The sequence below is a fragment of the Homo sapiens genome, chromosome 1 (assembly GCF_000001405.40).
Source record: "Homo sapiens chromosome 1, GRCh38.p14 Primary Assembly".
NCBI classification, from domain to species: Eukaryota; Metazoa; Chordata; class Mammalia; order Primates; family Hominidae; genus Homo; species Homo sapiens.
In genome coordinates, this window is record NC_000001.11 from 153604521 (window position 1) to 153618695 (window position 14175).

The window sequence follows — 14175 nt, forward strand, 5'->3', positions numbered from 1 at the left end:
TGTTTTCAAGCTTTTCGCCTACATTTTAGACTAACCCTGCTTATTCCTGTGAATCAAGCAGTGATCTCCTGCAGCTTGGAAGAAAAATTAAGGGATGGGTAATATAAAATCTGAATCAATATATTAGTTCTGGGCAATTATTCTGCAAATTCTACCAGGTAATAAAAGTGAGTAGGGTGCCCATAACCCAGAGGTTTCTTCGTTTAGGAAAATAAAACCAAGGAACTTCATAGACCCCCAAAGGGGAATTCTATATCTTGACAGGTAAAAGTTTAGATGGAAATTATCTACCACACCACACTTATGGAAATAGCTATACTCACTCTATTATTTGCAATAGGATTATACATGGTAGCACCTTCTAACTGAAATATTAAACAGAGAGTTTCCATTGCTGTCATATTTTGCTTAATCATTATCCTTATAGCAGGGATAATAGCTACTAATGAAAAGGAAGCATAAAAGTTTTACTACCACTGAATCTGCTAGGACTTTTTATTGGGTTTAGTGATGCAGTTTTCAATGAAACATGCTGCTTTCGGATTAATGCCTCTAGTTAAAAGAAAATCTACAAGTACTTAAAAATCAAATCAAAATTATTGATCCCCGAGTGGCTACAATGCCTCTTTAATAAATTCCAGTCTTCTTTATGGAATTGGTTAACCCCTTTATTAAGCCCTCTCTTGCTTATGTGTCTTGTATTGATATTTGGACCCTGTATACACAATACTATAACTCAAATTGTTTCTTCTCATCTAGAAGCAATCAAACTCCAAATGGTGCTGTAAACAGAACCACACATAGACACATCATTCTTCTGAGGACCCTTAGATTGACCCCAGGAGGAGCCCTAGCTGCTCTTCCCCATTCGACGCCCTTTTGCAACAAGAAGTAGCCAGAAGGAGTCGTCGCCCAAAACTCCCTAACAGCAGTTAGTGTGGCATCTCCACAGGGGGGAATGTTGTAGGAGTTATTAAGAAATTATTTTAGGCAGATAGAGAGGAAAATGGGTCCTTGGGTCCTTGGGAAGTTTTTTGTTTTGTTTCTTTTTCTTTTTTTTTGAGACGGAGTTTTGCTCTTGTCGCCCAGGCTGGAGTGCAATGGTGCGATCTTGGCTCACCACAACCTCCGCCTCCTGGGTTCAAGCGATTCTCTGGCCTCAGCCTCCCGAGTAGCTGGGATTACAGGCATGCGCCACCACGCCCGGCTAATTTTGTATTTTTAGTAGAGACGGGGTTTCTACATGTTGGTCAGGCTGGAGTTTTCATTTTTTTGAAGCATCTCCAGAAAAGTTTCTTGTAAAGCCCCGGCTCTTAGAGCCAGGTTGGCAACCTTTGATATGCAAATGCAAGCCCTTAGAAACTGGGTCCACCCAAACATGGTGATTCCCCCGGCCTTCTTGCCCTTTCCCCACATGTTCCTGGCAATGTGGCTGCCCTCACATATCCCCAGGTGTGTAGACCTGCATTTGCATATTAAAAGGCTAGGGTGGGGCAAGGTGCGGTGGCTCACGCCTGTAATCCCAACACTTTGGGAGGCCGAGGCGGGCGGATCACCTGAGGTCAGGAGTTCCAGACCAGCCTGACCAACATGGAGAAATCCCGTCTCTACTAAAAATACAACAAAAATAGCGGGGTATTGTGGCACATACCTGTATTCTCAACTACTCGGGAGGCTGAGGCAGGAGAATTGCTTGTACCCGGGAGGCGGAGCTTGCGGTGAGCCGAGATTGCACGCCATTGCACTCCAGCCTGGGCAACAAGAGTGAAACTCCATCTCAAAAAAAAAAAAAAAAAAAAAAAAGGCTAGGGTGTGAGGGCCAGCTTTTTCCGAGGGCTACGTGAATGACACGCATAGTCAAACCAATCCCCTGAGCCCTATACAAATCAGACTCCTCCTCCTCCAGCCTCTGTATATATACCTAGATGGTATCTGTGGCAGGTGGGGTTCCCTCTCTCAGCTTTGGGGCCTCCGTCCCTCTGTCTCTGTACAGGGGAGCTTCTTCCTTCTCCCTTCCGTCTTGCCCCTTCTTGCCTATTAAACTCTCCGCTCCAAAAAAAAAAAAAAAAAAAGACTAAGGGTCATGGTCCCTCTCTCGTGGAATTGCAGTGAGGACTAAACGGGACTTACAGTGTGCCTGGAAGTTGAATTTGAGTCTGAGTCTGGGCTAAAAGGGCCCAGAGATGGTGACCTAAGGCCTTTGGCCCTTTATGGAGGAGGATGGAGGGAGCTGCTGGCCCACAGCTGACAGTGCCTGTTGGAATTTAGGAGTTCTGGCTCCTTTCTTGCTCTGCCTTTGAGGTTCTTCTGTGAGATTCTCTCTTATCACAGGGCCCAAGGGCTAAGACCACCAAAGCATAAAACGTTTCCAAGGAGTGGGAAGGTTTTAATGAGCATCCCAGAGGGACCAGGGGATACAAACTCCAAATCCAGCCTTTATATCATCATTATTTCAAGCAACAGGAGGAGGCTCAGCCTTGCTTAGCTCATTCCCAGATGAAGAGGCAGCTGGAGGGAAGTCCCTGAAAGTGCCTCTCTACCCAGCAGAGGGGCTAAGGGAAAGTGGAGAGGTCTCTGCTGCTGCTGCTGCTGCTGCTGCTGCTGTTGCTGCTACCACTGCCACCAAGAGCAGGGAGACCTCAAGCACCAAGCTGACCTTTGGAGGTCAGGACGGACCCAGAATCAGGCAGGAATTTGGCAGGAACATCAGACATTGGAAGGTTAGATGAGACTGAACAGGTGAGAAAACTCTTAGGGTCCCCAGACAGCATTGAGATCTCACAGAGGGGCCCCAAGGGCCTGCGACTCCAGGAGCTGAGACCCCCCAGGGAGGGAGGTACCTCTAGACTGAGACACTCACAAAGGGACCCCAGTTCAGCAAGGGTCAGAGGAAGGTCTGGAGGGAGAAGAGAGTAAAGGGCCCTGGGTGGGCAGGAGGCTGAGGAGGGAGCCTGGGGAGAGCACCAGGGCGGGGCATCAGGCCAGTGCCTGGAAGGTGTGGCCAAAGGGGTCTCTAGCTGCTGCTCTGCTGCTCCTGCTCATGGATGAGTTTGGCGATGGGGCCGGTGATGCCGCCTATCAAGGTCCAGTACTCATCGAAGCTGATGCGCCCATCATGATTGGCATCCAGGTTCTGGATGAGCTTATCCGCAGCCTTCCGGTTCCCTGTGTCCTGGGGAGGAAGCAGGGTCAGCAATGCTGATGGTGGAAGCCCCAGAGAGACTCCAGGCAGGACCCTAGGCAGAGACCCAGGATCTGGCCTGCACAGCTGCTTCCCTTGGGAAATGCAAATATAGCCCTCACTGGCTAGGCCTAAGCATCCTGAGAAGACAGAGGCCTGGGGGTGTAGAAGACCCTGGAGTTAGCGGGGACACTGGAAGGATAGAGGCCTCAGCAGGGAAAGACACCCTCAGAGGCCAGAGGCTTGCAGGGGAGGGAAGGGGAGAGGGAGGCAAGGCCCTTGGGTGAGAGGCCTTACCGACAGCATGTGGTTCAGCTCTTTCTGGAGCATCTCGCGGAAGCTGCTCTTGCTGATCTTGTTCTTGACCAGGCTGTACTTAGACACATATTTGTAGAAGTTTTCCACCAGGACAATGACTGCCTTCTCCAGCTCCGTGTAGCAGTCTGACATCTCCCTGCTTCGCCTGCTGGCGGGGCCTGGACACCAGGAGGAGGGGAGATGAGAAGAGACACCCACAGGCCATACCTCCTCCTCCTCCACACCCACCCTAGGCCCTGGGTCCCTCCTCCTGCCTTGTTTCTGGTCCCTGGAGAAGAAGGTGGCAGGAAAAGGGGAACAGAGTGGGTGGGGGAGAGTGAGCCCTGGAATGAGAACTATGCGGCTCCTCTAATCCAGGTGCTCCCCAGCTCAACCGCCTCAACAGGTTCTCCAGGCCCTGCCCCAGCCCCAGGCACCAGGTTCCAGCCCTAGGGAGCAAGATCCCTAGTGTCAGAGCCCTACGGGGCAAGAGGCTCTCATGGGAAGAGAAGAGTCCACCTGTTCTCCCACCCTGCTCCACAGCTGGCCCACCTCTCCCGGGGCCAAGCATGGCTGGGACAGCTGGGATGAGCCATGGAGGTTAGGGGCAGAGGCTACTGCCTCCCACTCCCAGGACTGGCTGAGACCCCAGCCCCAGGCAACAAAGCAGAAAGGAAGATGTAGGCCTTCCCCAATCCCTTGCCGGGCTCCAGGACAGTGAGTCCCGGGTCTCAGAACCTGGCTGCCCCTTATGGGAAAGGACAAGGTCCAGATCAATTGGATCAGATTTTGTGCAGCTCTCCCAACACACCCCGCCACACCCTGCTAGCCTCTCCTCCCTTATTCCCATCCCTAAATACACAGCAGGACCCAAGAACACCCCCACCCACACATCGTTACCTAAGGCGGGGGCCAAGCCCAGTTACAGCCCAGCTGGAGTCGGACTCTGGACACAGCAGCAGACTGCCAGAGGGCACATGCGTCACCCTCTCACCCCAGGACAAAAGACACTTTCTAAGCGGATACAGCCTTCTGAATAACAGGATATGAGGGGAGCAGGCGGATCTGGATCTACTCTGTGAGTCACGGCCCATGCCCAAAACCCCCCCACATCAACCCCAGGCAAATCAGACTCCCTTCCCACCCCCAAGCCCAGGAATGTGCTCCAGTCACCCTCACCCGGCGGGTCCTGGTGAAAGGAGATGGACAAAACAGGGTCACAGCCACCATAGGGGCCTGAGCAAGCCACAGTCAGATTTGGAAGGAAAGGCTGCTCGGTCAGGCCCCACCACAGCCTCCTGTCCTGCCACCTGCTTTCCGTTGGCCACTTGTGGCCATTCCTACTCCCATGCCGGCTGCCCTGCCCTCTCCAGCCAGCCTGCCAATCACTCTCGCCCCGCCCAAGCCACGCCTCCGAAGGAAGCCTGCCTTGACCCCTGCACTGGGTGCCATCCTCCCTGACTCCCACAGACGTGTCTGTCATCACCACTCAGCTAGCACTGGCTGGGGCCCACTAACTGGTGAGGCCACGGTGTCTTTCTGGGTCCTGTCTTGTTCCTTGAGACAAGCATAGTTTTTCTTACACATGGCCAATGTATTTTCTGAACCAAGCGGCGGGACTCAGACTTTAGGACAGTTTTTTCAATCCTGGATATACACCACCCCCTGCTTTTAATCTCTGCATCTCTCCAGCCCACATTGCCTGGTCCAGTGCCTTGCTCAAGGTACACGTTCTATAAATATTCCACCTCCTTCCAGCCCTGATAACGGGTATTGCACGTCCTTGACCACCTTTTAAGCTTTTTCTTTCATGAAGCCTCTTCTGAAGGAAGGGTGGGACCAGGAGGGAACAGGCCAGGAAGCAAGAAGGAAGGAGAGTTGAGAGGAAGAGTCAGGCTGCGGCTTCTCTGAAGGGAAATCCTGCCCTTGTCTTCCCTCCTCCGCCTGCCCAAACCCTCTGGTCCTTGGCTGGGAGGATGGAGCAGAGTACCAGGATGGCAGGAAGCCACACGCTTTTCCATATTCTTTTATTTAAGTGTGTAACTGCGTGGTTCCCTGTCTATACCGCTGCAAGACTTTCATACAAACACTTTAACATTTACAGTTGAAGAGGAAGACCATTGTTCAACCTGTGGTCTGTCTGCTGTGCTGCCCTTGGGTTGGAGGTGGCTCAGGTTCATGACCAGTGTTCCAGGTGATTCTGAAAACCGTGCCCATTTCTGGAAGGACTGTGCCAAGTCCACTCCCAACCAAGACTTGGAAGTGGGAAGATAATTCAGAGAAACTCCCCACACTTAACCATCCCAATCCTTGTTCCCTAAATGAGGGATCTTGTGGGAAACGGTCAGGGAGAGGAAGAGGGAAGGAAATGGGTGGTGCACCTCCCTCTGCCACTCTCCCCACAAGCTAGCCCACCTCTCCCACCACCTGCCTCCTTGGAGTCATTTCTCTGAGCTGTCTCCTCCTGGCCTTCCTCAATACCATGACTCAACCCCTGCTTGGCCTCTGGCAGCAGCCAAGTGGCCAAGACACAGATGAGCCCCAGAGATGACTCTGCCACCTGCTCCCAGGAGTACTGGGAGACCCAGAGCGGGAGCTCCAGTGCCTCAGGGCTTCAGCTCCCAGCCCCTCCTCCCAGGAATCCACCCGCTCCCCACCTTCGGTAAAATGGACAGTGCTGGAGATAACCATCTGACAAGTGCTTTTCTGGAGCTTTTTCTGAAGGAAGGATAGGGTAGCAGGCAGGCAGGGATCGTTATCCTCCTCTGCCTCCCTCCCCTGGAGGCCAGGAGACAGGATCTGCCACCCCACCCACCCCACAAGCCACCTGCTCCTCCCGCCTGCCCCATTCCCCCACCAGCCAGGCCCCGGGTCTCCTGGTTCAGGGGTCGGGCAGATGTTCTATCCCATCAGCCGCTTCCTAGAAAGGTCAAGCAGGAGGTCGTTCCTGCATTGGCCCTGCCACAGGTAGATCCTGGCCTGAGTGGACAGTGTACACAGGAGCCTTCCAGAAATGTGGGAATGGGAGGACCACGTGTCCTCCAATGGGCCCTCTCACCTCAGGCCTCCAGCCCTACCCCAATGTTCTCATTGTCTTCCCCTTGGCTGATTCATCATTGAGCAACAAGCAGTCTCCCACCCCCACCCCACCCACCTCAGCCCAGCTTGCTGACTTCTCCAAAAGCCCAAATTGCCCTGACTCCATGCCCCTGGATCCCAGCCACTCCAGCCCCACCCTCCCACCCCCAGGTTCTGGGCTCCACGCCCTCCAAATGCCTCCTAACCACCCCTAGCATCCCCAGGCTCCTTCCGTCTGGAGCTCCAAACATCCACCACACCGTCCTAAGTCCACCTTCTCTTCTCACCCCACAGACACCTCTGGAGTCTTAAGTTTTTTCCAAGTGTTGGGATGTGTCCCTAGACTCCTGTCCCTCCTGGTCACTGTTCTCTCCAGAGCCTAGCCCACTGTCAAGCCTAAGTATGGATTCTCTGTGTCCCTTCCATCTACCTGGAATTCATTTGCTCACTTAGGCACCATGAGTTTGCTTACTCATTCATTTATTGGCTCATTCATTCACTCTCATTCATTCACTTGCTCATTCAATAATGCATTCACTCTCTTGCACATTCATTCATTCATTCCCTTTTTCATTTACTCATTTGTCCTCTCTAACTTCAATATATAGGGAAGGTGCCATCCGAACTGGGCTGACAATGCCACCTCTATCAGCAAGGCTGTTTCAAATGAAATTTCTCCAGCCTCAGCTGTTCCATTCTCTGCTCCTTCCTGTGTTCTTTCTCCAATTCCACAAGGCCCTCTCCAGGAACAGCTCCCGGAGCATAGTGGGGCCTGCTTGGCCCTGCCTCACCCCTTACCATCCTCACAGGATTCTGCGTCTAACTCTCTTTGTCTCTCTCTCACACACACACACACACACACACACACACACACACCGAGCAAGGACCTCGGCCATTCCTGATCCCCTCTGCTTGGGTGACCCATCACCCTTCCACTCACTTCAGTTCTTGGAGCAAGAAGCCAGCCTCTGAAATTTTTCCAGGCAAGTGAAGTTGGAGGAGTTCAGTGTGGATCTTGCCCCCGCCTCCCCCAACACACACACAGCTACCCCAGCCTCAACAACACTTACTAGAATGTGGGGAAAGGCAGAGCCAGCTCCCCAGCACCCCTGCCCTCACCACCATCCCCACTGGGCTGGGCAGGGGAAGGCTCCCATAGTGCAGGTGGCTCTGCCAAGAAAAGCAGCTCAAGCCGGGGCCTGCCTGGGTCCTGAGGTGGAGGAGCTGCCGAGGTTCAGCCCCCCTCTCTCTATCTTTCCCTCTCCCAGGGAGCTTGCAGGCTCCCCACAGCCTCACTCGGGTTCCTCCCAGATCTCATCATCCCTCTCAAGGAACAGCTCCTGGAACACAGTGGGGTCTGCTTGGGTCGTGAGGTAGAGGGGACGCCACCTCAGCCCCCGCCTCCTCTTCTCGGAATCTCAGGCTCCCTGGAAACTGCCTGGTTCCTTCTGGACCCCATCACCTCCCCTAGGACACAGCTCCCAGAGCCCAGCAAGGCCTGTGTCCAAGCTCTGACCACCCCCAACCCAGACCAACACGCATTTGTCCTCTCCTTTTGGGGAGGATCGAGTAGCTGTGGTCAAAGCTTCCAAATACTCTGCCCCTGGAGAGGAGCTCCGTCAGCTGCTGCGGCAGGGAGGGGGTCTCACCATCCCATCCATCCCTCTAAAGGCCTCACCCAGCCCCCAACCCCCCAGGACTCCCCATTCCTAAACTGGCCTGTGGGAGAAAGTTAATAATTACCAAAATCTTCCTGCCTGCTCTCTGGCAGGCCCCTCTCCCCAGGCCCCCTTCACTGCCCCTTCTCCTGGCCTCCCAATACTGTGGGGCCCTCCGGCAGCCGAAGACCTCCCAGGCCGGGCCCAGGGTGCTCACCTGCTGCCTCAGTCTGCCTCCTCTCCAGCAGGGCTCTGGGGCCTGGGCTCTGGCACTGCCAAGCAGCTCCCTGCGCTCAGCCCAGCCGGGACTCCTCCCCGCTGCACTCCCAGAATCTGTCCCACTCCCTCCCAGCCCTGCCCGCTGAGCTGGCTCGGTGGGGAGATAGTGGCTGAGCTCCTTCTTGACTTGGCCCTGGGGTTGGGCCCTTGTTAAAGGGATACACACCTTTTTTCACACCCCTCTACCCCCATCCCAGAGGGAGTGGTGAAAACTGGCACTCCCCCAACCCCACCCTCCCAGCCCCGCAGGGGCTGAGCAGAACCTGACAGGGTAGAGAAAGGAAGGGAAGGACTATCACCTGCCTTTCTCACCTGGGTCACTGGGATCCCAGTTTCAGGGGCTCCCAACAGACAAGTTCAGTTAACATTCCAGGCCAGCCTAACTGGCCACAGAAACCTCCTTGCCACTGGGGTTTCAGGAGTAACGCCCGACTTCTGTGCTCAAATCAGAAGGCAGATGCCAGGGACCTGTCTGGCTCCCTGGTCTTCTGTCTCTAGTCTGACCCATCAGCTCTACTGAGACCCAGCCCTAAGATCCCTCATGTACACCAGAAGACTCCTCTGGAAACTCCCCACACCCCACCGTTTCCCTAAGATACCCAAGGAAACTGGCCAGCTCGACCTCCCTACACTAGGGCAGCAGCTGAAACCAAAGAGGGGCCCACTTGCCCACTCCAGCGGGAATGATATTGGGTCACTGGGCACTCACCATGTGTCAGGCTCTCTGTAAGTGCTTTACATGATGTGTGGCATTGTCCTCCTGGCAATCCTGTGGAAGTAATATTCATATCCCCCATTTTACAGATGAGGAAACTGATACTAAGAGCATGCCCAAAATTCCAATGATAAGTGGCAGATCTGAGATTCAAACTCAGGCCAGTCAGCCTGTTTCTAACCGCCCCCCACCCCCACCCACCCCATTTCCCTGGTTGTGCCAGCCAGGGCTCAGAACACCTGGACTAATATCCTTTTCCCCAAGTGTGCACACATACCCTCCTCTCCTATAAGAGGGCCCGCCCATTGGCAAAGAGGAGCCTGTCCCTCAGAGAGGACCATGTTGCCCTTTTGGACCTGGTACCACCCTCAACCCAAACCCATAGGGAAAAGTGAGTCCCCATTCACTTCCACAGCCAACCACTCCAGCCCCACGTGCCCCACCCTACCAATGACTTTGCCTTTCACCCCCAAGCTCCTCTCACCCGTGGACCCTCAGGGAGGGGGTGTCCAGTCAAGACAACATGTTTCACTTTTTTCATTTTTTTTTATTAATCAAATGATACAAAACAACCATCATTCTGTCAATGCCCAAGCACCCAGCTGGTCCTCTCCCCACATGTCACACTCTCCTCAGCCTCTCCCCCAACCCTGCTCTCCCTCCTCCCCTGCCCTAGCCCAGGGACAGAGTCTAGGAGGAGCCTGGGGCAGAGCTGGAGGCAGGAAGAGAGCACTGGACAGACAGCTATGGTTTGGATTGGGGAAGAGATTAGGAAGTAGGTTCTTAAAGACCCTTTTTTAGTACCAGATATCCAGCCATATTCCCAGCTCCATTATTCAAATCATTTCCCATAGCCCAGCTCCTCTCTGTTCTCCCCCTACTACCAATTCTTTGGCTCTTACACAATTTTTATCCCTCAAATATTCATCCCTGGCCCAACCAGTCCCCTGAGCCTCCCTCTGGTGGAGACTCCTCCACCCATGAGCTCCCCAGAGCATCCAAGACAGAGTGCACAGAGACCTGGGGAAGGAAGCTGAACTTTGCAGAGATGAGGACAGGTGCAGGCTAGGGTACAGGGTGGTGGTAGAGGAGACAAGTTTTATCTCCAGGCCCACAGTCTCTCCCCAACACCCCCCAAGAATTCCAGAGGGAGTTCTCAGTGCCCCCGGACAGGCCTCTCCAGCTTCACACTCTTGGCCGCTTCTCCAATCAGCTCCCAGAAACTCCTGAACTCCAGTTTAGAGTCATTGCAGCTGCCCAGGTTGGCAATTTTCTCTTCCAGGCCACAGTTGCTCTGAGGGGAGTGAAGAAACCATGGCTCAGGGATGCAGCACCTTCCAATCTTCCCACCCCACCCTGCCCACGGGCAGACAGCAGGAGCAGAGGCTACCTAGCACTGGCAAGGGGGAAGAGCTGGGGGTTGCAAGTGCCAGTGTGGGTGGGGTCCCGGAGCACTTGCTTGGGAAGTCAGGGTACTGGCTGAGGTGGGGTGTGCTCCGTCCATACCGGCATGAGATGGGGCAGCTGCTGGGTGACCAGGTCCCGTAGCTCAGAAGGGGTCAGCGTCTCCTTCCCACCCTCCACGGAGTACTGGTGAAAGTTCTTGATGAGGGTCTCAATGGCCCTCTCCACATCACTGAATTCCTGAGCATCCTGAGGGCAGGGGACATCACAAACATCAGTGAAGCTCCATGCACCCCAAAACCCTGCTTCTCCAGGAGCCTAGCAAAGCCCCCAGGGCAGAAGGCAGCTGGAAGGCACACAGCTCCCACCCACTCCAGAGCCCAGAATCTAGCCCCTCTCCCCCACCCCCTGCTCGGCCTCCAGGCCACAGCAGCTACAGGTTGGGGAAGGCTTCCCTCCCCACACCCCCCACCGCAGGCAGAGCAGGTCCCAGCATGCACCCAGGCATCCTCTTCCCAGGAGGACTCCATCTGCATCACCCTGTGTGGGCCTCAGAAGAGGGTTCACATCTCACTCACAGGGTCTGGGGTGCAGGGCAAGGCCAAGGTGAAGGGCAGAAGTCAGTGGGGGGACATAGACCCTCAGGGTGAAGGAGAGGAGTGTGGGAGCAGAAAGGCCAGGAGTGAATGAGCCCACCTCTGCGTTGGCTGACCGACACTGTCCCATGGTGCCCACTGTGTCTGGTCCTTTGGTGAGAGTTCTGTTGTCCTATAGCTGGCCCCAGAGGAGCTGATGGCTCATGATCTGCTTAGAGGAGGGGGTAGGCCTGAGCTGAGGAGAGAGTCTAGCATTTCTTTCTCAGCTGCCCCCTTTGGCTCCATCTCAGATATTCTGTGCCTCACCAGGGGTTCAAAACCAACACCACATAGGCCCAGGCCCCGCCTGGGCTTCAGGAGCCAAGGTCATATCCCCCAGGCCAACGCATCTAGGGGGAATCCCTTGGAACTCACCTTAGCTTAATTCTTTCCACCTCCTCCAACCACCCACCTCTGCTTGAAACACACACACCAACCTCCAGGATCTGATCCCCCAGCTCTTACCCTAAGTGTGCCCTCTGGACAGCAGGCAGTATATTTGGGTGAAAAGCCTTGGGTTTCCTTACCTGTTGGCAGCCGCTGAGACAAGACAGGAGGAGCCAGCTCACCTGAGCTCAGCTCTTATACCTGGGGGAAGGGAGGGGAGGCAGGGGGCTGGGCCTAAGCCACCCCTGCTATTGCAGCAGCCTGGGCTATGAGCCAGCTTTATGGGCCCCACCCTCCGCTGGCCAGAGTTCCAGAGCCTACCATGACCCTGCCACGAGGAGGGAGCCACAGAGGGCTGGGGCTGGGAAACCCCTGGCCTCCGATCAGCATGCAGAGTCACAGAGAAAGAGAAGCGAGAAGGCTGGGGAGACAGAGAGGACTTCGAGACCTCATGGGGTCACCCTAGGAAGTGGAAGGGCCCTGGCGAACTGCAGGGCAGGGAAGGAGAGGGGGTCTGAATCTGTGACCAGGAAGGAGAAGCAGGAGCCTCTGTACCCTCCATGTGTGTCTGTCTGTCTCTCTCTCTCTCTCACGTGCACACACACACACACACACACGCACACGCACACTTCTCCCAGTCAGGCCCAGCTTGGATACTGACACTCAAGCCTGCCTGGATCCCAGAGCCCAGCCTTTACCAGTCCTGGAGGCAGAGAGATGAATGTAGAGAACTTGGATCAGGAGGAAGCCAGAGAAGGGCAGCCTGATGGAGGGAGGCAGATTGAGTGAGTGTTTGCCTGACCTCCCTTCAGCTCCCCTCAGCGGCCCAGAGTGCACAAATGCAAGGCCCACTTGAGCTGCTTGGCAGCTAACACCAACTCCAAACTGGTCGGGCCACGTGTTTCTCTCTCCCTCCCTCAGAGCCCCATGCCTTCCCTAACCCAGCTGCAGAGCAACAGCCCCCCATCCAGGACCCAGAATGACATCCCAGAGAGCCCAACCCCAGTGGCCCTCCTCACCTGCCCAGGCCCAGACACCTAGAACCTGAAGTCACTGGGAGGGGGTAGGAAGAAGGGCAGAGCAGTAGGCATGAGTCAGGGCAAGGATGGGGTGCGGCCCAGAGCCAAAGTTCCCAGGATCCTTTCCTAAACGCTGAGATCAGAGCACACCCCACTACATCCCTCCTCATGTCACCTTCTCAACCTGGGGCCCTGTGTGTCTCAATGGAGAGGACCTTCCAACAATGTCTCATTCTGAGAGTTCCTCTGAAGGGCTTCAACCTGCAGGTCCCTCTGAGGGTCTCTCAGCCTGTGGGTTCCTCTGAGAGTGACTTAGCCTGGGTTCCTCAGGAGGAGGCTCAGGCTAGGGGGTTCCTCACAGGGCTTCTCACGGTAAGGGAGCCCTTCAGTGCAGGAGCCCCTCTTGAATGTCTCTGCCAATGGCCCTTTGGATTCCCAGTCTGGGAGTCTCTCTGAGGTCTCAGTCTGGGGCTCTCTAACGGAGGGTCAGGGAGCTCCCTCAGCCTAAAGGTTCCTCTGGACTCATAGCTGCCCTGCATGGATGCCTGCCAGTGAGGCAGTGACAGCCCTGGGAGGCTGGTCACCGAGATGCCCGCCCCTGCTCCCTCTGGTGGTGGCCGTGTACACCATATGCCCCTCAAGCCAGGAAGGCAAGGCAAGTTCTGCCTCCGGTGGCACCACCACACCCTCACCCCACGGTCCTTGAGCAGAACATCGGGCCCCTCCTTCTGGCTTCCCCACTGCTCCAGAGGGTAAGGGGAGGAGGCCCTAGTGTTCCTGAGCACCCAGCCAGAGAGGATCCTGGTTAATCAGAGCTCTGAAATCCACCTATTCTTGTCTTTATGACTTTAACTAAGATCTGTGTCCTGATCTTTAATACAGGAGTTAAAAATAGTGCCTTCCTCAAAGGACTGTGAGAATTAACTAAGACAATACAGGCAAAATGTTTAGCACTGCACCTGGTACTTAGTAAGCCCTCCATACCTGTTCACCACTATCATTGTCATCCAACGGACAAACTCCAAGAAAAAAGAAGCAGAGCAGGACCATGCAGCTGAGCCCGAGTCACCTCTCCTGCCCCACATCTCTGCCCCTACTTTTCTTTTTTCTTTTTGTTTTGTTTTGTTTTTTGTTTTTGAGATGGAGTTTTGCTCCTATCGCCCAGGCTGGAGTGCAATGGTGCGATCTCGGCTCACTGCAAACTCCTCCTCCTGGGTTCAAGTGATTCTCCTGCCTCAGCCTCCTGAGTAGCTGGGATTACAGGCACCAGCCCAGCTAATTTTTGTATTTTTAATAGAGATGAGGTTTAGCCATGTTGGCCAAGCTGGTCTCGAACTCCTGACCTCAAGTGATCCACCCACCTCAGCCTCCCAAAGTGCTAGGATTACAGGCGTGAGCCACTGTGCCCAGCCCTCTGCCTCTACTTTTCATATATTCATTCAACCATTTATTGGGCACCTGCTCTGTACAAGACCTGGTGCTAGATGCTGCGGAATTCAAAGATGAATAACATTCCCTGTCC

At 54.6% G+C, this 14175-nt stretch overlaps 2 protein-coding genes across 7 annotated transcripts, besides 6 other annotated features; both read right to left on the minus strand.

Moving 5' to 3' along the window:
• Nucleotides 510-1465: an enhancer, noted in NCBI's record as "H3K27ac-H3K4me1 hESC enhancer chr1:153577506-153578461 (GRCh37/hg19 assembly coordinates)". NCBI's record gives its function as "activates a minimal SCP1, AML or CMV promoter by ChIP-STARR-seq in naive H9 embryonic stem cells {active_cell/tissue: H9 hESC(naive)}" and the evidence as "EXISTENCE:reporter gene assay evidence [ECO:0000049][PMID:30033119]".
• S100A16 (S100 calcium binding protein A16) lies at nucleotides 2363-8617 on the minus strand. Of its 5 annotated transcripts, XM_047446559.1 has the most exons (4): nucleotides 4658-4835; nucleotides 4379-4510; nucleotides 3479-3657; nucleotides 2363-3172 (listed from the first exon to the last, which is right to left on the minus strand). In XM_047446559.1, the coding sequence occupies exons 3-4, from the start codon at nucleotides 3629-3631 to the stop codon at nucleotides 3014-3016; spliced, it is 312 nt and encodes a 103-aa protein (XP_047302515.1). In that variant the 5' UTR covers nucleotides 3632-3657; nucleotides 4379-4510; nucleotides 4658-4835; the 3' UTR covers nucleotides 2363-3013. The 5 variants fall into 5 exon arrangements, 4 of the variants coding, with proteins under 4 accessions (XP_047302515.1, NP_001303936.1, NP_525127.1 ...); NM_001317007.1 differs by having other exon boundaries at nucleotides 4379-4835; NR_133645.2 differs by lacking the exons at nucleotides 4379-4510; nucleotides 4658-4835 and adding an exon at nucleotides 8432-8617 and having other exon boundaries at nucleotides 2366-3198.
• Nucleotides 3808-5007: an enhancer, noted in NCBI's record as "CDK7 strongly-dependent group 2 enhancer chr1:153580804-153582003 (GRCh37/hg19 assembly coordinates)". NCBI's record gives its function as "activates an origin of replication core promoter dependent on BRD2, BRD4, P300/CBP, MED14 and CDK7 cofactors, with strong dependence on CDK7, by STARR-seq in HCT116 cells {active_cell/tissue: HCT116}" and the evidence as "EXISTENCE:reporter gene assay evidence [ECO:0000049][PMID:35650434]".
• Nucleotides 3808-5396: a biological region, named in NCBI's record as "CDK7 strongly-dependent group 2 enhancer GRCh37_chr1:153580804-153582003".
• Nucleotides 4683-5396: an enhancer, noted in NCBI's record as "H3K27ac-H3K4me1 hESC enhancer chr1:153581679-153582392 (GRCh37/hg19 assembly coordinates)". NCBI's record gives its function as "activates a minimal SCP1, AML or CMV promoter by ChIP-STARR-seq in naive H9 embryonic stem cells {active_cell/tissue: H9 hESC(naive)}" and the evidence as "EXISTENCE:reporter gene assay evidence [ECO:0000049][PMID:30033119]".
• Nucleotides 8618-9734: 1117 nt separating the features above from the next.
• S100A14 (S100 calcium binding protein A14) lies at nucleotides 9735-11805 on the minus strand. Of its 2 annotated transcripts, none has more exons than NM_020672.3 (4): nucleotides 11775-11805; nucleotides 11309-11416; nucleotides 10715-10861; nucleotides 9735-10502 (listed from the first exon to the last, which is right to left on the minus strand). In NM_020672.3, the coding sequence occupies exons 2-4, from the start codon at nucleotides 11336-11338 to the stop codon at nucleotides 10365-10367; spliced, it is 315 nt and encodes a 104-aa protein (NP_065723.1). In that variant the 5' UTR covers nucleotides 11339-11416; nucleotides 11775-11805; the 3' UTR covers nucleotides 9735-10364. The 2 variants fall into 2 exon arrangements, with proteins under 2 accessions (NP_065723.1, XP_005245419.1); XM_005245362.2 differs by having other exon boundaries at nucleotides 11713-11805.
• Nucleotides 11744-12244: an enhancer, noted in NCBI's record as "H3K4me1 hESC enhancer chr1:153588740-153589240 (GRCh37/hg19 assembly coordinates)". NCBI's record gives its function as "activates a minimal SCP1, AML or CMV promoter by ChIP-STARR-seq in primed H9 embryonic stem cells {active_cell/tissue: H9 hESC(primed)}" and the evidence as "EXISTENCE:reporter gene assay evidence [ECO:0000049][PMID:30033119]".
• Nucleotides 11925-11974: a silencer, noted in NCBI's record as "silent region_1341". NCBI's record gives its function as "represses an Ori minimal core promoter by ATAC-STARR-seq in GM12878 lymphoblastoid cells {active_cell/tissue: GM12878}" and the evidence as "EXISTENCE:reporter gene assay evidence [ECO:0000049][PMID:35858748]".